General features: G+C 33.8%; 1 long non-coding RNA gene across 2 annotated transcripts in view, besides 1 other annotated feature; it reads left to right on the forward strand.

Moving 5' to 3' along the window:
- Positions 1–1602: 1602 nt before the first annotated feature.
- LOC105374686 (uncharacterized) overlaps positions 1603–23962 on the forward strand; it is a 55146-nt gene continuing 32786 nt past the window's right edge. For both annotated transcript variants that reach the window (XR_925850.2, XR_925849.2), the window contains exon 1: positions 1603–1782. This is a non-coding gene — a long non-coding RNA (uncharacterized LOC105374686). The remainder of the gene's footprint in view (positions 1783–23962) is intronic.
- Positions 12666–12960: a silencer, noted in NCBI's record as "tiled region #1276; K562 Repressive non-DNase unmatched - State 24:Quies". NCBI's record gives its function as "represses a minimal TATA promoter and a strong SV40 promoter by Sharpr-MPRA in K562 cells {active_cell/tissue: K562}" and the evidence as "EXISTENCE:reporter gene assay evidence [ECO:0000049][PMID:27701403]".

Raw genomic sequence — 23962 nt, forward strand, 5'->3', positions numbered from 1 at the left:
TATCTTTGTGTATAGAAATCCACGTACTCCGTGTGTAAAAAAACTAATTTCACACCAGGAAATTAAAAGCATATTAGTCAAGACAGCTATGAAGTATGATGACTAAAATTATTTCATTTTATTTTCTCAAGTATGTGTCAATAAATACTAAGTCTATTAATTGAAGATTTACAGAAAGTTATAGCTACTTTATATTAAGGAAGGTAAGATCGAAATAAGCCATAGCACCTTTTTTTAAATTAATGCACTTGAAAATTTGATGTGCCTAATGGGAGTGTTTTTAATGAATTATATATTTATATGTATGAAACTCAGGAACTAAAATCAAACATAAGAATTTTCAAATGATCTTTATACGTGTTACTAGTGTAATTCTTAGACTTTCTACTCAGTGAGAGAACAAATGAATTTAATAAAGAAGTAAGAAGTTAGATGTGCATTGCAAATATGACAAGATGTTCAAATACTTAAAATATAGATATAATTGTTTTCACGTTTGTTTTTTCATGTTTGTTTTTGATTATAAAAAGAAATATAGAAGCAAAATGTTGACAGTAGCTCTATACACCTAAGTGAAATAGCCTTAACACAAATGAAATGGTGTTTTGGCTATACACATATCTTATGTATGTGGCTCGGTTTATGAAGTCGGTTGATGCTAAATCTTACTTTTCCCCATTGAGTCAAATTTATCTTTCCCAAGTAACCACCCATTTTAGTCATTTAAACATTATTTAGAGGGCTGAATATACAAATGTAATCAACCTCTAGAGGAAAACTGCTATCGGGGTGATGAGAAGCTGTAAGCAGAGACTGTATAGAGATTGCCTGAACTCTAAGTGTTGAAAAAGCAGAGGACCTTTAAAAAAGGTGATTGCAAGCTGAGGATCATGTATTAGAAGTGAATTTACTCAACCGACTTTAGTTCAAGGACCTGTAAATCTCACTGTTTAAAATTTTATTCTTGTTCAGAAACACAAAGATTATCAATATAAGTACTTTTGCAGTGGGAAATGGAAGCTCATGGACAGAAGAACAGTGAGTTATCAAAGAATGTGTCTTCTCACTCAAATTGGCAGGACAAGAAGCCCGTGGACTAATACCTGGGGCTGCATGTCCAGTAGGAAACCCACAGTAATGGAGTAGCATAGGTGAGCATCCTCTGCCTTTCCTATAAGTATCTGTATCCTCACCTTACATACTGGATTTTCTGTACCACTGCCCAAATAAACAGCACTGGTCGCAGTGTGGGAGAGGGGTGGGGTGTGGGGTACTTCACATCACTGCAAATACCACCTACAATGCTGCTTCCTCACTTTCCACCAATTAGATCCAAACTTGTTCAGAATCATTTTCCCTGCACAATGATACTGGTTACAGGAATATTTATGTCAGGATAAAATTTTTAATCTTCTCTTTAAGTAAATTGTTTGGCCAATCTGAGAAGAAATGAGATTCCTGGTCTGCTGAAAACAAAGAAATGAGAGCAGAGGGGGAGGAAATTCTAAATGTCCATACTGGATACACAGTTCCAAAATAGAAAAGGAAAATATAAATATTTCTGGCGAGCAAATGCTCCACATAAAATGTCAATGCCTTCATACCAACATCTGGTTTAAGTTCAACTGCTTGCCTTATCCCGCGCCCTCTAACAAAAAAACAAATCCTGCTAGTCCAAATGTTCTGACAACTTAACCAGGACATACTGCAAGGACATACATTCTGGAGAGGGAGTTTCTGGATTTGAAGAATTCTAAAACCAAGAAAAGCCTCACTGACTACGTAAGTTAACCATCTCAATTATTCTTTTATATGTAAATAGAAACACTTGAGTATCATTAATTGCACAAAAAGAAAACGTCAGAATGAACAACAGGCTAATTTATCTATAGACAACAAGTAATAATAGGCAAAAAGAATTTTTGGAGGGAAATGGAAACTCTTCATTATTATTCAGGCATCGTTGATATAAAATTGACTTCATTAAAATATATACTGCCCATTATTGCGATGGAGTCACTAAGGAAATTTGAAATCTTGATGATTATTTTTAGAGAAAAATTCTTATATACTAAATTATATACAGCCCAAAACAATAACAATTATCATTATTTGTTTTATTTGCAAGCTCTTCCCCTTTTAAGAGCTTTATCTGATAATGAGAAATCCATCAAATTAGAAAATATACTTTATATCAGGAAAGTGGAAGGCATGTTTTATAGTAGCTTTAATTAAGATTTTTTGTATTTGCAAATATTGGACTCCTGAATAAAATATGTCAAATGCTGTGAGCATCAAACTTAAACTTATTTCACATAAACTATACTTACAAAAATACATAATTTTCCAGCTTTTACTGGCCCAGCACATTTAGCTTTCAAAAGCAAAAAAGCTGGAAATAATTCAGAAAGAAGTGAAAAATTAGCAAATATTATTGTTCTCTTGGATGAATGTGTTTTATCAAACATATATAATGTCAAATTTCATTTGAAAAATGACTACTGATGCAAGTTTTTGAAGATATGTAATATTAATTTCTTAGAACAAGTCAGTTTTAAGTAACATTAAATGTACGTATGTTATGAGTTGAATTGTGTCTCCCAAAACTCTTATGTGAAGTTCCTAAGCCCCAGAATTTCAGAAGTGACCTTATTTGGGAATAGGTTCTTTGCAGATATAATTAGTTAAGATGAAGTCATTATGGTGGGCTGTAAGCCAATGTGATTGGTGTCCTTACACAAAGGGGAAATTTGGAGGCAGACGTGCATAGAGGAATGATGATGTGAAAAGACAGGGAGAAGATGGCTGTCTACAAGCCAAGGAGAGAGGGTCGGAACAGATCTTTCCATTAAAACTCAGAAGAAACCAGTCCTGCAAATAGCTTAATTTCAAACTTGTAGCTCCCAGAATTGTGAGACAATAAATTTCTGTTATTTAACCTACTCAATGATAACACCAGCAAACTAATAATATGTGTGTAATAAATTATAAAGCATAAAATAGATTGCAAGATACATCATATTATAAATTATGACAAAATATGCCTATATTATTTTTATAATAATTTTAATGCTATTTGAAGCTTTCATGTTGCCTCCTCAAATAAATACTTCAAAAAAATGACCAAATTCATCAAAAACATAATGATGAAATAACCCATTTTATTATCTTCTTGATTTTTCTGATTTATTTATATATAACTTTTTACAATGGCTAGGACCTACAGTAGAATTTTGAGTAGAAGTTGTAAAAGAGGAAATTTTCTTATTTCTTATTTGTAAAGAATAAGAAATTTTCTTATTCTTATTTGTAAATAATTCAGATTTGGGGCAGCAATTATGATATTGGCAGAGTGGTTGGTACATATTAGTCTTATATATTAATTTTATATATGCATATATATATAAAATGTTGTATTTTTATTAATCTATGAAGATTGAATTTTAAAAGTATACCTTACAGTTTAAGAATCTATCAGGTGACAGTACTGTATACTATTAAATTTTATCTCCGTAGAGTAGTAGAAATACAATCTTAAATCACATTCAGATAGGAACAGAAAAACAAAACTCAACAAAAAATAACTACCATGAACAATATCTATTTTCACTTTTAAAGTACAAAGACATCCATATTTTTATTGCCTCAACGGTAATGGTCAACTGTTGTCAATAGCAATAAAACTAGATTTTGTTTTAATAATCTGCAATATGATAAATATCAACTACTTTTGTTTTTACCGTGTTTCTAAGGATATGCTAGACACATTTTAACCAAATAAGTGGAATGTCCTTGATTAAATAAATAATTTTACAGATTTCTTCCCCTGTTCTGGGATTGATATTTTCCTAACATATTTTTCTGTCTCCGTTTTATTTTTTTAATTTTATAGAATTGTGTAAGTGGAACAGGATGAGCAAAACATGATCTGTGTATCTCCAAATCTTTATTATTTTCTTACATGACTTATTCACAGATTATTCCAACTATGGCTATAATTATTACTGAATGCATCTCACATTAAATTTTACGAAATTGTTTAAATTAAGCTTATATAAAAGTCCTGTCTATCTATTTGTCTGCATATGTACATATCCACCTACTTATTATCTATGGTTAGATTATAAAATGAAGAGGAGAAAAATTAATGTGAATATAGAAAATACAGTAACTTCTTTGCAAAGATTAATCACCCTAGCTTAGGTTAACTTTTTAAAAGCGTGTGTGTGTGTGAGTGTGTGTGTCTCTGTGTTTGTGCATGCTTGTGATTTTTTCTTGGTCGTTTGGCATAACCTATGTTTGTTAGGAAAACCTGATGGCATCAATTAATTTAAAATTATTACCAGCTCCCTGAATTTGTATGCCCTCATATAGGTTTATTAGAAAATGAAACTATACACCTTCAATTTTCATGAAAGCAGGAGCTCAATGCAGTATCTCATATTTAAAACTATCTATTTACTAATCATGATCAATTCATATACACAGGTGTCATGGCAGCTTAGAAAACACATTTACCTGAGTGATCTTGGTTACTCAGGAAAAGTAAATAAAGCTATTTGCTTTAAAAAAATCTTCAAAAACACAGAGAATACACTTTAGTTTGAAATTATGTTATAGTTGAAAATCTTAAAAGTGTATAGCTGTTCTGATAAATTCAAATTTATTACTTAAAATTCTGGAATACAAAAAATAAAATAAAAATTACATAAATGTAAAAAAACAAAGCAAACAAAGAATTCCTCAACATATATCCTGAAAGTATTTTGGAATCAAATAAACATGACTTTTACATGTCTCTAAATGTATAATTCTAAAAGATGATACTCACAGCATTTGTCTTACTTTTTTATAATGATCCTCATGGCTATTTTTTTTTAAGTTTCAGGGTACACGTGCAGGATGTGCAGATTTGTTACATAGATAAATGTGTGGCATGGTGGTTTGCTGCCCCTATCAATCCATCACCTAGGTACTAAGCCTAGCAAGCATTAGCTGTTTTTTTCTAGTGTTCTCCCTCCTCCCACACCATCCCCTAGTGCCTGTCGTTCTCCTCCCTGTGTCTATGTGTTCTCATTGTTCAGCTTCCACTTATAAGTAAGAGCTTGCAGTGTTTGGTTTTTTGTACCTGCATCAGTTTGCTGAAATTTTCGCATAGAGGGTTATATATTAGAGTAGTGGAATTAATGTAATGGAGAAAATCAATGATGCTGTATTATTGTGATAAGAATTGTATTTAAATAATGGAATGAAACTAGGAATTCAAGAGTGAGTGTTTTATGTCTAGCTTTCTGTTGGAAACCTCTTTGTGATTTGGTTTTGTATTCTTTAAATTTAGGTAATACTGTCATTTCTGTACCTTAAACTACTTCTGAGAATCAGCCAAATAATAAATGTGAGATCTTTTCAGCAGTTAATTTCTAGATGTGAGCTATTATGTAGTTTCTAGATATTTAGTAAGAGAATAGCAGCAACTTGTTTATCATTTTTTCAAAGTTGTACCAAGGAGAACAATTCCTATTATCATAAAGACAGTTTAATTCTAATTGTCAATAAACACAATAGCCATTATTTGTTATTTTATTGGCTGTCAGACAATTTGCTTTTACTTTGCAGCTATAATTTTATTTTTGTCACACTCATGTCAGCTGCTTAATATAAGTTTTTTACCATTTCAGTGATTTTACAAATCACAGAAAAATTAATATACTTTGTTCTAGTTCAAGTTTTTTAATTGTAGCAGCTGAAATTTGAACTCAACTTTCTTTTTTAAATTCAATACCCATTTTTCCATATGCTCATATGGTAGATTAAAGAATTCATTAAAGATAAATTGGCATATTAACTAGGATAGGTCAGATATAAATTTCTAGCATCTCTAGGAATTATAATATAATCAAAACATGGCAGCTGAAAAGACTAGACCATGTATGGAAAACAAAAATTTCACTCTAAAGTTAAATTGCATAAATGAAGAAGTGACATTAAAAATAAAATTATAAAATTAGACTATTGAATCACTGGTGTTAGGAAAGGAGTGTAATTTAATTCTTTTATTAGTATAATACAAATAAATTAGGAGCTAATATTGAAGTATATATACACATACATACATATTCTGACATGAGATGCCAATTTCTGAATTGAGAAGTGCTTTGATTCCCTCTTTTCTTCTCCCTCGTGTGTACATTTTTGAGCTATTGTATGGTTTGTATTACTCTAGAGGAAAAATTAGAGAAGCTCTGCATTATAGAAAGTTTTCTCAGTGTCTTTGATGATAGTTTTACCTAAAAAACAGTTCTCATCTTTCTTGCTCTTTGGGAAACATTTGCCACTATGAATCGTATTCCTCCTGAAAATATCTCCTTCCTTAGATTGCATTTCACTCTGTTATCTTTGTCCCCCTTCCTTGATGAATACTCTTTCTCCATCTGCTTCACTACCTTTCGTGTTCAGTCTCCTTTATGTAGAATGTTTTATTTTTGCTCTTTTCTCTTTCCTTGGAATTTTACTTAGGTATAAGTCCTCTTCTTTAAATTTGATATAAATGTTTGAAGTCTGTATCTCTAAAAGGAACTTTCGTATCTGAAGGTCTAAATATATGACAAGCATCTCCATGTGGGTGTTCTATTGATTATTCATGCCCATCAAGTTAACAAAAAAAAAAAAAAAAAACTCACACATTCAATATTTTCTAGTTTCTTGGTTCTCTTCCTGACATCTCCATTTCCCTCAGCTGTACCACTATTCTTTTAACCATACTTGCTCAAACTATGTGACTTTTATTTTTTTCTCTCCTCTCAATTTCTATGAAATGTTAATTATTTTAATTTGAATCCTTTTCACACTTACTACATCCGTGTTATCTCCTTTCTCTTTATCACTCTAGTACATAGGTGTGTTTCATTATTTATTGCCCGTGCCCCTATCTTATTATCTCCTGTAGGATCCAACAAATTGATATTTGCTATATTCTGCATGATCATTTTTACTCTTGAGTTCCTGTGGATCATATTAATGATCCTTAAAGTCCACCGAGTTAAAGAATACCTGAGTTAAAATTATTTGAGAATGTCTCAAGAGATCTTTTTTATGTTTTCCTGGATTTTTCACCCTCTATATGGACTTCTTATTTTTAATAGTTACCTCTCAGTTTCCCTTACAGACACCAAGGAATCTTCTTCAAACTGATGTCCCCAGTGCCTCTTGAAAGTATTCTGTATTTTATTTCTGAGTACTTCTTTCTCATGCATCTCACTCTGTTTGGAATCTCTATTCCTCTCATCAGGACTACCTGTCAAAACCCTGCTTACTCTTCAATAATTCCTGCTTCAGGTGCATTTCCTGGCTTCACTCTTTATTTCTATAAAAAAAGTATTTGTGTTTCCAACTTACTATGATTTATGTTTGAGATCATCTGGTTTTAGTGTTTTTGTACCATTATGGTGTTTCCATTTTCATTTTCTGTTAATTTATTTTGGTGTACTTATCTCTCCTACATAATGCAGTGTGTTAGAATTCAGGTGTTACATCTTGTTCATATGTGCACACTGATGATACATTATGTTGTTGTTTTATATGTTGTGTATAATAAAATAAATATTAAATTGAGTTGAAATACAACCCTCATGATTTCTAGCAGATTCATAGTAGGGATGCCTATTTCAAATAAACAGGCACTATGAAACTAGAATCTTGAATTAGCCTGACTCATGGAATGTAACGAAAAGGTGATTTATTTTTTGTCACTTTTTCTTTAAAGTGTATCCAGTGATAATGACCCTCCTTTGAATGAAAAGTCAGCATGCCCTGTGAATTTTCTCCTGACTCTTATTAAATGGATGATTCTATTGCCCCATTAAGTAATAACACGTTTAAATTCAGAACGTGAAAGTGTTCTAAAAATCATGTCAATCTTCATTTAGAGAAAAGACACCCTTTCTCTCTACCCCACATGCACTATAAGCCTTTGATAGAGAGGAATTTGCTTGGCTTTTGGTAACATTTTCCCTCATCACCCCCTCAGCCTATGAGTTGCTTTTTGGGTTCCTTAAAGTCTGGATCCCAATGTGGTTGCATATTTTCTGAGTTTGGGCTGGTGGAGAGTAGGAATTAAAGTGTTGCAGCAGCTCTCAGCAAATCCTCTCTTCCCAAATCCTCTCCAATATCTGTATTTTAAGGTTTTTTTTAAATATCCTCTTTGCAGGCTAACATTTTTTAAGTGTTAAATTGTGTTACTAAATATTTACTTTGCAGATATCCATATATCTCACAACTCACCTTTGTTTCATGGCATCACCTCATGCAATACTATAGAATAAACACCTGGTGCCTTAATGGAAGTCATACTGCCTATCTCACTCTGTAAGCCTCATGAGGATTCATTGTTCCTCCAAGTCAATCATGGTGCAGTCTGCATTACCATAACACCCAAAGCCTAAATGCCTATATGTACTATAATCCTAAAGTACATAACCATATACATGCATGTGTTTATACACACACATACACATGCACACACACATAGAATGAATGGAGAATCTGGTGATGGAAAATAATGTTATAAGCATTATATATTATATATTATATTTTATGGTAGGTATTTGCATATCGTGTGTGTGTGTGTGTATGCCTTTTTTAAAGTTACCAGACCCTCCATTACATCTGCTTTGATCAGTGCCATTGAAGAATGCACTGTAAGCAATGAAGTATAGTTCAAAGTTACTGTGTGATAAAGTATGTCTAGTGTCCACACCCAAATCTCATGTCAAATTGTAATCCCCAGGGTTGGAGGAGGGGCCTGGTGGCAGATGATTGGGTCATGGGAGCGGATTTCCCCCTCGCTGTTCTCATAATAGTGAGTGAGTTCTCATGAGATCTGGTTGTTTAAAAGTGTGAGGGACCTCTCCCCTCACTCTCTCTCTCTCCTGTTCCACCATGGTAGGATGTGCTTGCTTCCCCTTCGCCTTCTGACGTGGTAAAACATGATTGCTTCCCCTTTGCCTTCCCCCATGATTGTAAGTTTCCTGAGGCCTCCCAACCATGCCTCTTGCAAAGCCTGCAGAGCTGTAAGTCAATTAAACCTCTTTTCTTCATAAATTACCCTGTCTCAGGTAGTTCTTTATAGCAGTGTGAGAACGGACAAGTACACTATGATTGTTAGACTCTTCTCTACCCACTCATTATTTTCTCCCGCAGAGTTCAAACACAGTTTGGTGGCATTTTCCTTGACATTATTCAAGAACCTAAAATTATTTAGAGGAAGGGTAAATAATAGGACAGAACAGGCAGCTTGCCTTTGTATAATTTTATCATTCTGGTTTTCTACCCAGAAATTTTTCTTGGAGTTCAAATTTCAGTTAATTAAGAGTAAGCGTTATATTATTGCAATGTGAAGACCACTCACTATGGGGATTGTGGAGACCATTTTGTTTGAAAACGTTTTGTAATACATATATTGGGATAAATTTTAAGAGGCAATGTAGTGTACATATTAAAGAGCCTGTGGTTTGTAGCAAGAAAACTGGGGTTTAAAATTCATTTCTATAACTTATATTCTTTGTAGCTTGATCCTGACCAGGGTATTTACCATCTTTAAGATGCAGTATCCTGATTTTTAATAAAGGAATAATAATTTATTATCCATCTTGAAGGTTTATGTTAAAGATTGAATAAAATAATTTATGAAAAATGTTTAAAATTGTAATATTTTTGTTTTATTTATAATAATTTTGTATGCAGATAAAGCCTAAAAATAGCAAGTAATTTTATAATGAAAACAAAAATTTATGAGAACAAATATGCATCACATACCTTTTCTGTGAAAAATGATTTATGCATTTTCTTAAATCAATTATCTGAATTAGTTTTTTTGTTACAAATAAGAAAATCACAAACCAAAGAGGTTAGCCTGTCTGTAGTGAATTAGATAATAAGATGTGGATTAGAATTAAAAATTTATTTTTGAATAATGCATTATCATTGCATTATTCCTTATATGAACGTCAGTCTATCTGTTTTGACTCAAGATTAGCATTGCTGGAATTCATTCCAACATATTGAAATAATGCAAACTCTTTTTAACATAACGTTTTCTCAACTGTTTACACATGAATGTGTATTTGTGTGCATGCATGTGAAGAGGAGAGAGAGAGAGAAAGAGGGAGAACAAATCTAAATCAGAGCAGGTAGACCAGAGCTAATAGAAATCATGAAATGTATTGGGCACAGGTAGTGTCAGCAAACATGCTAATCATTTTATGCCTATTATCAAATTTAATATCGCCAACCTAGGTAAACAGTTGAATGGCACACAGAAGGACTAGAACATTCTTAGTGGGTGTAGAGATTGACAAAATAATATGAAAAATATTGTATAACAAGGTAGTATAATCTACATAGCATATTTTATGAGGTGAAAATTGCATCGTTAAAATCTGTTTAAAATGAATACTCTGGAAGTAATAATTCTATAAATAGTGGTAAGGCATACAGAGATGAAGGAAAATATTAAAAATATTATTATTTTAGTTTTTTGACATGTTACCTTTGAAGTGAAGACATGGTGAGCATATAACAAATATACAGATGATAGTGAAGTTGCAGAGTTGAGAGGCTGAACAACTGAAAATAGTACCTATATATTTATTTTGAAATATAATGGATGTCCAAGAATGAAATTTAAATACAACCTGTGATATAAAAATGGAACGATGCAAAGCCTACACTTTGAATTATTACTCATGATGTGAACCAATGAAATAGTCTGAACTTCCAGAAATATAATAACACTTTGTTCTACGGTATGGGGATCTCTTTACCGTTTCTATATATTATAAGATTTTCCAAAGTCTGTAAGTTATACTGGAACTTTTCCTGGAGAAATGAAAGGAATAGAGTCAGCATTTTTCTAAGGCTGCTGTATTAACCAGCTTTTGACTTATAACGCTGTGTAACAACGAACTCCTAAATCTCAGTGCCTTACTACAGACAACACTTACTTTTGCCTACAAGTCTGAGGGCTAGCTGTCACCACTCCACTCTAACCTGAAGGCTAAATTCAAGTGAGCTTCACATATTATTCATTCTTGGAACACAGTTAAGTAAGCAGTAGGTATAGAACATTATGCTTCTCTTGGGGAAGAGGAATGCAAAGTCATGAATTGAAGCACATTTAAAGCCACTGCTTAGAGGTAGGGTGATCACATATAACCATTTTTATTAGCCAAAGCAGGTCACCTGATGAAACCCAACATCAGTGCAACCTATAGGAGTGGAGGTGGACAGAGGGAATATTTGCTGAACAATAATGCCATCGACCACAGCCAGATAGAACTGAAGAATTGCCTTGAAAGAAAAGGCAGCTGCAATGTATTGGATATTCAGCTAATATTTCCCAAATTAGCTAAAGACAGGTAAAAGTAGTTTTACTGCCAGTTTTATGCATAAGATTATGTCTATTCTTCCTCTTGTTCATGTGGTTTTATTATCTTATTATTTTTAAACACTGTAATTTCAATTACAGACTTATTGTCGTTCATCACTTCCATTTTTGTTATAGTTATTATTTTTCTAAAGTAAGTAATTTATACAGCCCATTTCATTTCTAAAATTTTCCAAGAATGTATTATCAATATTGAAATAAACATTGCTGAACTTTTAAATAACTTTCACTGGTCAATAGACAGTATTATTGCGGACAAGCTCTGCTTCTTGGAAGTAGTTCAATAATTGACCACCTAATCTTGATCTGGGTTTGGTGAATACAAATAAAATTACTGTGTAAAATCTTATCAAAGCACACTGATGCTCTCCCAGGAAATCTACGTTCTTTGCTATAAAATTCTAATTGTGGCAATCTTATCATGAATCAGTCTTTCTGATTATCTTGCATTTATTTGGCTACTTAATTATTCTTTTGTTATTAGATAAAATTGGACAATATCATGTGTATTCATGTACACGATGAGAACATTTTGAGTAGCAGCTTTAAGTATTTGGGAAAAATATGCTACTAGAATCTATGATTAACAGAGTAAATTGGTGAATTTTTAGAAAACAAAAATTTGTTTTTTCTTTTTCACATTTTGTACCTGTCCACATTATATAGCATTTATTAACAAATGCAACAGCTGAAAGGAACCTAAAAGATCATTTAGCCCGGAGGTCAGTAATATTTTCTCTGAAGAGTAGACAGTAATTATTTAAAGCATACACCATATGATCTCTATTTCAAATACTCAGCTGTGCATTTGTAAACACAGCAATAAATCATATGTAGATGAGAGTGTGTTACAGTAAAACTTTTTTCCACAAAAATCGATTGTGGCCTCATTTGGCGAATGACCCCTAGTTTGTTGTGCCCTGATCTTGTCTGACATATTTATTTATCAGATAAAAAAACTGAGACTTAAAAGATTTAAAATTATTATGCCAAAATTATTTATGTAAATTCTACAATTTGGTGAAGAATACAAATCCAATTGATATCAAATATGGGTCTAGAACCCAATATTGCTCAGTCCTGTTTGAGAATTCACAAATCTATTATTTCATGAATTCCCAAGGGAATTCATGCCTCCCTCCCTCCCTCTCTCTCTCTCTCTTTTTTTTTTTTTTTTTTTTTTTTTTGGTTAAACATAGATACTATTTGAAATCATGGGCTGAGCGCGGTGGCTCACGCCCATAATCCCAGCACTTTGGGAGGCTGAGGCAGACGGATCACCTGAGGTTGCGAGTTTGAGACCAGCCTGACCAACATAGAGAAACCCTGTCACTACTAAAAGTACAAAATCAGCCGGCAGTGGTGGCACATGCCTGTAATCCCAGCTAGTCAGGAGTCTGAGGCAGGAGAATCGCTTGAACCGGGGAGGAGGATGTTGCGGTGAACAGAGATCACGCCCTTGCACTCCAGCCTGGGCAACAAGAGTGAAACTCCGTCTCAAACAACAACAACAGCGAAAGAAATCGTGATACATGATAAAACATTTATAACATCTCACTGGTTGAAGTCAATTTTTTAAAAATGTAAATATACACTTTGACTAACTTTGGATATGGATTATTTTAATTTGACTGATAAAATGAAGCCTTAAGCTACAAGACAAATTCTTTTTACACAAGTTTTTTGGAAAGTAATGACTGAGAAAAATACACGGTTTACCAATGATCTTATGAAGTTTTAGAACAGTGCTACTCTTTCAAGATATTTGGTATTTACTGAAGGAGTAGCTTCTCATAAGTACATATTTCTGATGACCAATTATCTTTGTTAGCCCATATATTAATTCGTGTATTTATAGTTAACAATATCAAACAATATTTTCAAGCAATCTCCTATGTCTCATACTTTTAAATTCATATTGTAGCAAGTTAAAAACATAATGTATACTTCCGTTGTTAATTAAAATAATAGGAAAAAATTGTTATTATTATTATTATTATTTTTTGAGACGGTGTCTCGCTTTGTCGCCCAGGCTGGAGTGCAGTGGCGCAATCTCGGCTCACTGCAATATCTGCCTCCCGGGTTCAAGGGATTCCCCTGCCTCGGCCTCCCGAGTAGCTGGGACTACAGTTGCGCAGCACCATACCCGGCTAATTTTTTGTATTTTAGTAGAGATGGGGTTTCACCATGTTGGCCAGGATGTTCTCAAACTCCTGACCTCATGATCCGTCCGCTTGGGCCTCCCAAAGTGCTTGGATTACAGGCCTGAGCCACTGCGCCCGGCCAGGAAAAATTAATTTAAGCATTTATAGTATTTTCTACTTTTCACAGCTACTTTTACTATTCAAGCTTTTAAAATAAATATGCTTAAATCTTAAAAACCAAAGCAAAAAGCAAGGCCACAGAAATAAATTTTATTTTTCCATTTGTTTTCTGTTGGAGTATATTTTATAAATTTTTATGTGGAATTTGGTTAAGAAGATGTGTTTTTCAGTACATCCTATTGAGATATTTACATCCACCTACTATAATTCAATTTTCCCCAATATGTGAAGAAAAACAGATACTGAATATAGATCCAGATTTCGAGACTATGAGAACAATTCATACTAACAGTTACTGTTCAAATATATAAAAAAGATACTTGTGGCATGTAAAAAAAGCTACTGTCATGGTTCACAGGACTTAATTGAAACCCTGTGCATTGGTTGCTTTCTCAAGATTAAGGTCAATATAGTCATCACTCAAAATAAAATAATTACCAGTAAATTATATTTATCAGCATATTTAACTAGTAAATCCAAACAAAGTAAAATCAGGTTAAGGATTTCCAGTGGTGCATTATCAAATTTGCAAAATTTTATAAGCTTTACTTTTCTCTTATTTCATAAGAACACTAAATGGATTTACTCTACATATACAATAATTTAAAAATTTGGGTATTTGAAGAATATAATTTTATTATTTTGAATGCATTGATTAAAAGGCAAATATTGTATTATGAAAAATAGTTGGAAAACTTTTGAATGCTGAATGTTGCCATTAAGACAACTGATGTTGACTTAAAATGAGCAAAATCTAAATGTTACATGATTGGAAAGTGTAGATATGTATCACCCTAGTTACAAGATTAAAATGACTCCATATAAAATTCAAGTGCCTTATTGCCATATTAATGCTATTTATTTACTTGGTTTTATTTTTTAAGCATTATTTAAAAAATTTTACATCAGGCAAAAATGTGCAACTAGCGAACAATAAGTTAGACAATGATAATAATTCATTTTCACTATTTTTGCAGTATTCAGTTAAGAAAGCTAATGTAAATCTATAAAAACTTGCATGAGCCTAAGTCAAGGTTAGTCCAACAGTTAAGTTTTTAAATTAAAAAAGCTCTTTTCTCATATCATACATAAAAATTCATTCTGGTGGATTATAATCCTTCCTGTGAAAAGGAAAACAATATAATATTTATGGGATAGCACAATAAAACATCTTCATAACCTTGTAATGGGTAAATACTTTTTAAGCAAGGCATAAAAGCATATCATAAGTTTTACTGCATTAAAATTAAGAGTATCTCTTCATTAAAAGTCAATTAAAGATTGTGGAAAGAAAACCTGCATGGAAAACCTATTTGTAACACATATATCAGACAAGCCATTTGTATCTTTAATAGAAAAATAATTCCTTAAAATTTTTAAGAAACTCAAGAAGAAAAGGAGAGAAATATTTGACCAAGGACTTCAAAATCTTATTGATAGACACAAAAGTGCCACATGAACAGGCAATGTAATGCAAGATACCAACCCAAATTGGCAAAAATTAAATATTACAAAAATGGACAACGGGAAGTATTGGCAAATGTGTTGAACAACAAGAATGCCCGTAAGCCACTAATAAAAGTCTGCTTTTGTTTATCAGTTTGGCATTACCTAATAAGATTTGAACACTTTACTAACCAGCACTTCCACCTCTGAGTATGTGGCAATTCTTTCATATTGTACCTGATATTGTAAACAAATGTTCATGATAGCTTTGTTTGTAACAGCTGACAACTAGAAATAATAAAATATCCATAAATAGTGCAGATGAGTAAATTATTGTATACTCGCCTAATGGAATACTATATAGATGTGCCAATTAATTAGTTAGAATACAAAGAAAAAAAATCACACCTCAAAATTAGAACCAAAATGTAGAACCAAGGAGTCAGACACAAAACATGATCAATATTATTTTATTCATATAAAGTTTAAAAACTGGCAAAAGTAAATTATAATTTTAGGAGTATATAATTAAATGGAAATACTACAGAGGAAAAGCAAGCAACTGATTGCTATAAAAGGCAACATAGTGACACCTCTGTAGCAGATACACAAGAGTGGAAAAGACATGAAAGATAGTCCTCTCTTGGCAGTGAGAATATTCTATTTATTGACCTGAGTGTTATTTACACAGGTATTTATAATCTCTTTTTAATCCTTTACTTTATTTTTTATAAAAATTTTCTTTATCAGAATACTAAAAAGTTTTAAAATATATTGTGTATTGTTTAATAAAAAACAACTTTTCAACTTCAAAATATATTTAACAAAATACAATATTTGGTCTCAGATATGGTATAGCAATATTCCCATTTGTTTTAACAGACTAATACAACACGTTTTACATATAATTTGAATATTATACATTTTATATGCTATATGTCAAACTATATAAACTAATCAAATTTTATTTTTAAAAATAATATTTATAACACTGATGTGGTAAAACGCAACTTTTATAAAAATGATTATATCTCTAGAGGTTACTTATTAAAAAATTAATCAAATGCCCTGTATAAGCTAAGTATGATTTTAAGTCCTGGGGTTTACACAGTTAACAAAACACTTTACAGAACTTCTGTCCACATGAAGATAATGTACTGGTGATGGGAAACAAAAATAATAACAGAGTAAGTAAGACATTTTAGGTAGTAATAAGAGATATGGGAAAAAGTAAGCAGGAAATAGGATAAATGTCCTGGGCATGTTTTATGCAACATCAAATAGAGTATCTAGAAAGCCTAAAAAGGCAAATCTTGGATCAAGACTTAAGGGAGGTAGGAGAATCAATACTCATATCTGGAGGATGTAGCTTGCTTGACACGTTTGAGAAAGCACAATTAGGCCAGTGTGTGGCTAGAGGGAGGAAATAGAAGATGTGGTTCCAGAGGCAATGAGGAGGGGGAAGACATCATAGAGGGCTCCATAAGGCTATTATCAGAATGTAGCTTTTACTTTGACTGACATGGGAAGCCTTTGAAAGTGTTTAAATGAAGATGTGTAATAATAAAACATATTTCAACAGAGCCATTTTGACAAGTGTGCTCAAAATAGACTTTATGAGCAGAGGGTGGGGAAAAACAAACCAAACAAAAAACGGACCAGTTAAAAGGCCATCAAAATAACCTATGCAAGAGATACCAGTGTTGTATAGCAGAATGGAAGCAGCGAAGGTATCCAGATGCAGCCTGGCATTCAGTTAAGACGGTCTGAAGGTTAAGAGATTGAAATAATTATTTAGGGTCGCCAGCCAGGAGACAGAATGCAAGCATCAAATAAGTGAGCAGAGAAGGAACACAGAAAAGTCCAAAGACTGCCACTAGCAAATTCCAAAATTAAGAGGTCAGGGAGCCAACTGGGAACCAGTAAAAGAGATGGAACACGATCCGGAAAGAACAGGTAAGCATGTTGTCTAGAGAAATTTAAAAAACACTTTCAAAGACTAAATGATTAACTTAGTTGTGGGATTTTTTGGTTGTTCAAATAAGGTTAAAACCAAGAATGATCTCTAAATCTGGAATGTGGCAGTCATTGGTGATCTTGATGGGGGCAGTTTTGTTGGGGAAGGGTGTGAAAATATCATTGTCACAGATTCAAGAGAATGCAAGCAGACTAATTGGAGACAGTAGAAATGGACTATCCTTTCATTAAGCAAAGTGGTAATGTCAGGGAGAGATTTGGGGATCAGTAAAATAAAAGTGAAGACGTATATAGGAGTTGCTTTGGTTTGCTTTGTTTCGTATTGTTTAGATGGGAAGCTACGAAGCAGAAGAAAAAATTTAAAAGGAGAGGATGGATAGGTTGGGCGTGGTAGCTCACACCTGTAATCCCAGCACTTTGGGAGGCTGAGGTGGGTGGATCACCTGAGGTTAGGAGTTCGAAACCACCCTGGCCAACATGTTGAAACCCCATCTCTGCTGGCTCCTGTAATCCCAGCTACTTAGGTGTCTGAGGCAGGAGAATCACTTGAACCTGGGGCAGTGAGCAGAGATTGTGCCATTGCACTCCAGCCTGGGAGACAAGAGTGAAACTCCATCTCAAAAGAAAGAAAGAAAGAAAGAAAGAAAGAAAGAAAGAAAGAAAGAAAGAAAGAAAGAAAGAAAGAAAGAGAAAGAAAGAAAGAGACAGAGGATATCAATGAGGAGAGCTAGGAAAGATTTCTGAGTAGCAAAAGGAGGTGACTTCAAGTGCACATTTAGATATGTATCTACCTAATTATAGTATTAAAACTACTCCTATACAATTAAGCTTGTTTGATTACCTTGTTAATTCCTACTTCAAGAGACTGCTCTTTGTTTCTTTCCCTTTTTCTAATTTTATTTGGGTTTCAGGGGATACATGTGAAGATTTGTTACATGGCTAAATCGTGCATCCCTGAGACTTGGTATATGAGTGATCCTGTCACCAAGGTAGTGAGCATATTCCCTGATATGTAGCCTTTTAACCCCCGCCTCCCGCCCACTCTATGTACTTAGATAAGAAAAATAAAGCTTTTTTTCTTATCTAAGCACAATAGATTCATTTAAAATAATAAGAGGAAAGTAAAATGTACAGACACAGATGCAGGAATTCTGGTAAATAAGATTAATATAGTGAAAAAGCTTGTATAGGATATTGTCTGCTTATTTTTTTTTCAATAATATAGGGAGCAAGATCAAAGCTGAGAATAAGGAGAGTGAAGGAGGTTTGAGGACGGAGGATAAAATACGAGTCAGTGGTTGAGGAGCGTGGAAGAGTAAAAGGGTTAGGGAAATATAGGACCATGTGGACCGGCATAGAGGCCCTCCTGAGATGAGTGATAAATGAGAAAAGTCAGTATAATGGGAAGGTCATGGGAGGCTCTGTTCACCTGTGTAGGGCAGACTCCTACTATTAGAGAGTTTGATAAGACAGGCCTGTGGTTCAACAAAAAAGTACAATAAATAATAAAAGGTCAAAAAGTTGAGAAAAAAGGGAGATTATAATTGTGATTCATAGAAGTTAAGCTTGGAATGGAGAGAAGAGGATATGAAGTGGTTAGGGCACATAAAGATGTCATAGGATCAATGGATTGTGGGTTCTTCAGGTGTCAAAGATTTAAAAATATAGGCTAAACAGGAAGAATTAAAGAGAGTAGCTAGTCTTTGCCAGGGCTTATGTTTATTTTGAAGTCACAATTTTTCAATTTAACCAGAGAGAAACAGACAAATAGAATTTTAAAATACAAATAAAAGGATTTTTATATGAAGAAAATGTTGACAAACAGTAAGAGAAAGACTAGCTAGACAGGAAGATAGATAGATCGACATAAACTAAATAACAGAATTCTACAATCCTCATTATAATTTTATTGAATCTTCAAATTTCAAAGAACAATAAGAGCCATATAGTTTGTTTCAGCCCAGCCTCTCTGCCTTGGGTCTGTGAAAGGCCAGACGCCTGCCAAATGATGAGGCAGTTGCCAATTGGATTCTGAAGCTGTAGAAATAGAACTGGATTCTGACAAAGGAATTATATTCTCATTTTCACTAAGCCTCTAGGATGCCCTCTCCACTAAATATTCTATGATAGCAATAGACACAGTAATCTATGAAAGAAGAGACCTGTAGTGGAGGGCATCAGAATGCAGACAGTGAAAGAGATTCAACTAGAACACATTTAAGCACTGCATTATTGATGGCTTTTGGCAAGGAAAGTTAAAGTGTGATTGTGCTGCCATTTAAAACTCTCAGTTTCAGATGTAAGGCAAAAGTGAACAATCCTGGTTTACAAGGAGATTAAACATTCTACGCTTCACTTGAGAAATAAAGGAATTGGATGTTTGATTTTGACAGACGATGAAAAGAAAAATGTATTTTTTTAAATTAGTAGTTGAGTCGGCTAAGCTTTTCTATTCCTATTTAAAATCCTCATTAAAAGTGATTTGACAGATCTAGGGACAAATTTGTGATATTAAAATAAATGTTATAATACAGTCTATTTTAGAAAATAACATCTAAGCCAATATTTGGGTTTCTAAACTTGTAAAAAGAGCAAAATCATAAAACAAGACATAATTTCTATTTTATTAATGTTAAGATTTCAATTCTTACTTATAACACTAGAACTGTCAGTTCCCCAGGTATGTAGTTTACTGTCAATTGGCATCATTGTTGCTGTTGTCAGGAGGACAATTACTGTAATAAAAATTTTTACTGTGATGGTGAATATTTTTCTTTTGAAATAATATGTCATGAGAAGATACTATTTCAATTTGCTATCCTCAGCCTTAGGGAGAAATGAAATCTCACATTATAGTATGAAAATGCTTTTCAAGCATTGTCTTTGATATAAACATCCTTGTGTTTCAGAGTGGAGTCTTCAATCTATTTTGACACAGTGAATTGACTACAAGTGAGAATTTTGACTTCTAACACATTCATTACACTCTTAGGTGGCATTATAACTTAGGAAGCTCTAGATTTAGCAGACTTGGCTTCAAATTGGATTTTACCTCATACTACCCATGTGCATAAAATCAGTGCCTGCTCTCAATCCCATCACCTCTCCCTTCTTCACATAGGAGACTCAATTCCCAGTGTTCTTGCTGTTGAGCAGGGCCAGGTGAGGATGATCTAGGAAGAGAATGCACGTTACTTCCAGGATAAGACACTTAATTGCTCATCTCCTGTCCATCTCTTTGTCCTTGCTGTCACCATGCTGGAAGAGGTCCAAGGTTAAGATGCATGAGGAGTAGATGGAAAAGAATTGTCAAAGTATGCCCCTCAGATTGGCAGAAGATATTGCATAAGTGAAAATTAAAATTGCTCTTAATCCAGCAGGAAATGTGGGCATATTTGTTACCCAGACCAGTCCACACTATCTGTGTGACTTGAGGCAATCCTTTAACCTCCCTCAATATTAGTTTTCCTTTCCATAAATAAAAAAACTATGAAAAACAGATATGTGAAATGTAAGCAATTTTATTTTATTTTATTTTTCTGTTCATTAAAAGGATTAGATGACCTATGAAAAGACAACTGATGTGGAGTTTATTTATTTGAAGACAACTGATGTGGAGCTTAGTCCCTTAAGATTTACCACTTATCCTACCAAAATAACATCAATGGAATTCCATATTAAATATTTAATAGTAAAGTTTTCAATTTATTAGTTCCTTTTGGTTTTGAAGATAAATATTTGACCTTAATAAGGAACCTCATGTTCTTATATTAATAAACCAAAGACCAAGTGTCTGTTGGAAAACTAAAGTCTCAAAACTTTCTATGCAGATGTAGAAACACTAAAGTAAGTAAGGCCCAGAATTACTAATTTAACATAGATAAAAGTGAAGTGATTTTATTTTATTTTTTCTTTATTTATTTAAAAACAATTCAATAGGTTTTTGGGGAAGAGGTGTTGTTTGGTTACATGAATAAGTTCTTTAGTGGTGATTTCTGAGATTTTGGTGCACCCACCACCCAGCAGTGTACACTGTATACAATGTGCAGTCTTTTATCCCTCACCCCCAACCCTTTCCTCCAAGTTCTCAAAGTCGATTGTATCATTCTTGTGCCTTTGCGTCCTCACAGCTTAGCTCCCACTTATGAATGAGAGAGCATACAATATTTGTTTGGTTTATCCATTCCTGAGTGACTTTTTTTGTTTTTGACCAAGTCTCACTCTGTTGCCCAGGCTGGAGTACAGTGGCTTGATCTTGGCTAGCTGTAACCTCCGCCTGCTGAGTTCAAGCGACTCTCCTGCCTCAGCGTCCCAAGTAGCTGACTACAGGCATGAGCCACCACGCTGGCTAATTTTTGTGTTTTTAGTAGAGACAGAGGTTCACCATGTTTGCCAGGCTGGTCTCGAACTCCTGACCTCAGATGATCTACCTGCCTTGGCCTCTCAAAGTGCTGGGATTACAGGCATGAGCCACTGTGCTCGGCCCCGGAGTTACTTCTAAAAGTGAAGTAATTATGAACTTTAGAAAGGAGGATCATGTCATAGTAAAAATAACAAGCTTTTCATATAAATAATTTCTAAAAGTAAAGGAATACTCAAATATTAAGCAAGTAAGTAAATAGTAGGTATATTTTCAAAAGCCAAAATGCTATTTTTTTAATACTGTCCTTAAAATTGACAAGTACTTAAAATGTATCACCTTATACAAGTAGAACCCTATGTTTTATTTTTATTTTCTTTGGCCTGTTTTTGTTTGAGTCCTGGTTTAAGAAAAGAAACAAACAAAAATTACTTAGTTTTATATCAATTAAAAAATAAATGTGGAGATGCACATGGTATTTATTTTTACTTTTGAGTGCAAAATATTTTAGTTATTGAGCAAAATGCTAAGTTGTGATAAGCATGCTGTCCACAAGTCTACAAACTATATTAGACTGCCTTGAAAATTACACAATACTGAACCAAGTTTAATACATAACTAGATTCCTGCATCTAAATTTAATTAAATACTTATAACAGTTTTGTGTCTGCTTATCAAGCCAGACAGTTAGAAAAATAAAATAATAACTCAACTAGATTTCTTTTTTTTTTTTTTGACGGAATTTCGCTCTTGGTGCCCAGGCTAGAGTGCAGTGGCGCAATCTTGACTCACTGAAACCTCCGCCTTCTGGGTTCAAGTGATTCTTCTGCCTCAGCCTCCCAAGTAGTTGGGATTACAAGTGCCTACCACCATGCCTGGTTAATTTTTTGTATTTTTAGTAGAGATGGGGTTTTGTCATGTTGGGCAGGCTGGTCTGGAACTCTTGACCTCGTGATCCGCCTGCCTCGGCCTCCCAAAGTGCTAGGATTACAGGCGTGAGCCACAGCGCCCGGCCATAGTTTTTTTGTTGTTGTTGTTATGTGAAACGTCTAAAATTTATTAAACACCCAATGTTGGTACTTAAAATGCCCGGGATATAAATACACAAGCCTGCCTACGAATTCTCAATGACCTCCTTTTTGTTTCTTTTTTAAATTTTTCACTGTAGCATTTTTTAAATATTTTCATATAAAGTATAATGTACTTCTTATTATGTGTATTGCTTTAGTTACAAACTCACTTCCATGCTCTGGAACATAACCTTGCAACACCAGAGAATTTTGTCCGTTTTTGAGATTTTTCTCCAGTACTGATGCTGCACCTAGCCCCTGCCAAAAGGTAGGCCCCAATGAATAATGTGTAATGATTGTTCATACAGTTGCTATGTGTCTCACAGGCAAAGTGACTTGTGTCAGGGCTACAAAGAAGCAATTCTGATCTCAGGCTGTTATAGATGTTACAAATGTTGCCTGGTGTTCTGGGATACAAAGAAACATAGGTAAGGAAGATTCAGTTGCTGCTTAAAGAAGGTTTTGCCTAGTGAAGACAGTTAGGAACACCACTTCTCACAGGACTTCTTTCTTAGGAATGAGGTGGGATGTGTTCTCAGAGTAACCACAGAGCACTGGGAATTATAGCAGGATCAGAGTCTAGTCACGCTAAAGTGGCATGTTTTCTAGAAAAAGTTATTTGTATACCTCAGGTTTTTTTTATATGTAAAATGAGGATTCAAAGGTGGGCAAACTATGGTCATTTTTATGGCCTTCTAGCTAAGAATTATTTTTTATTTTTGTAGGTTTGTTTGTTTCATTTTCCGCTATTATTATTATTATTATTTTGTGAGACGGAGTCTCACTCTGTCACCCAGGCTGGAGTGCATTGACACGCTCTCGGCTCACTGCAACCTCCACCACCCAGGTTCAAGTGATTCTCCTGCCTCAGCTTCCCAAGTAGCTGGGACTACAGGTGCTCACCACCATGCCTGGCTAATTTTTGTGTTTTCAGTAGAGACGGGGTTTCGCCATGTTGATCAGACAGGTCTCGAACTCCTAACCTCAGGTGATCTGCCTGTCTTGGCCTCCCAAAGTTCTGGGATTACAGAAATGAGCCACCACGCCCGGCCATTTTCTACTACATTTTTAAAGAACTATTTATAAAGGGGGAGAGAATATAGAATAGATAAGAACATATGTAACTCATATAACCTGCTATAATTACTGCTGTCTGACACTTTACAGAAAAGTTTGTTGATCCTTGTCTAAATTACAAATTATCCGTTTCTAGCCTTAGTGTCCTGTGATTTTGACAAATATTCATACATGTAAACGTGGTCATGACTATTCATGTTGAATTTTATTTAGCTCTGTGTCTACAGAGTCAAAGAATCTGTATATGCACAGCAGCAAGATAGTT

This window comes from Homo sapiens, chromosome 5 (genome assembly GCF_000001405.40).
Source record: "Homo sapiens chromosome 5, GRCh38.p14 Primary Assembly".
In the NCBI taxonomy this organism is placed as follows: domain Eukaryota; kingdom Metazoa; phylum Chordata; class Mammalia; order Primates; family Hominidae; genus Homo; species Homo sapiens.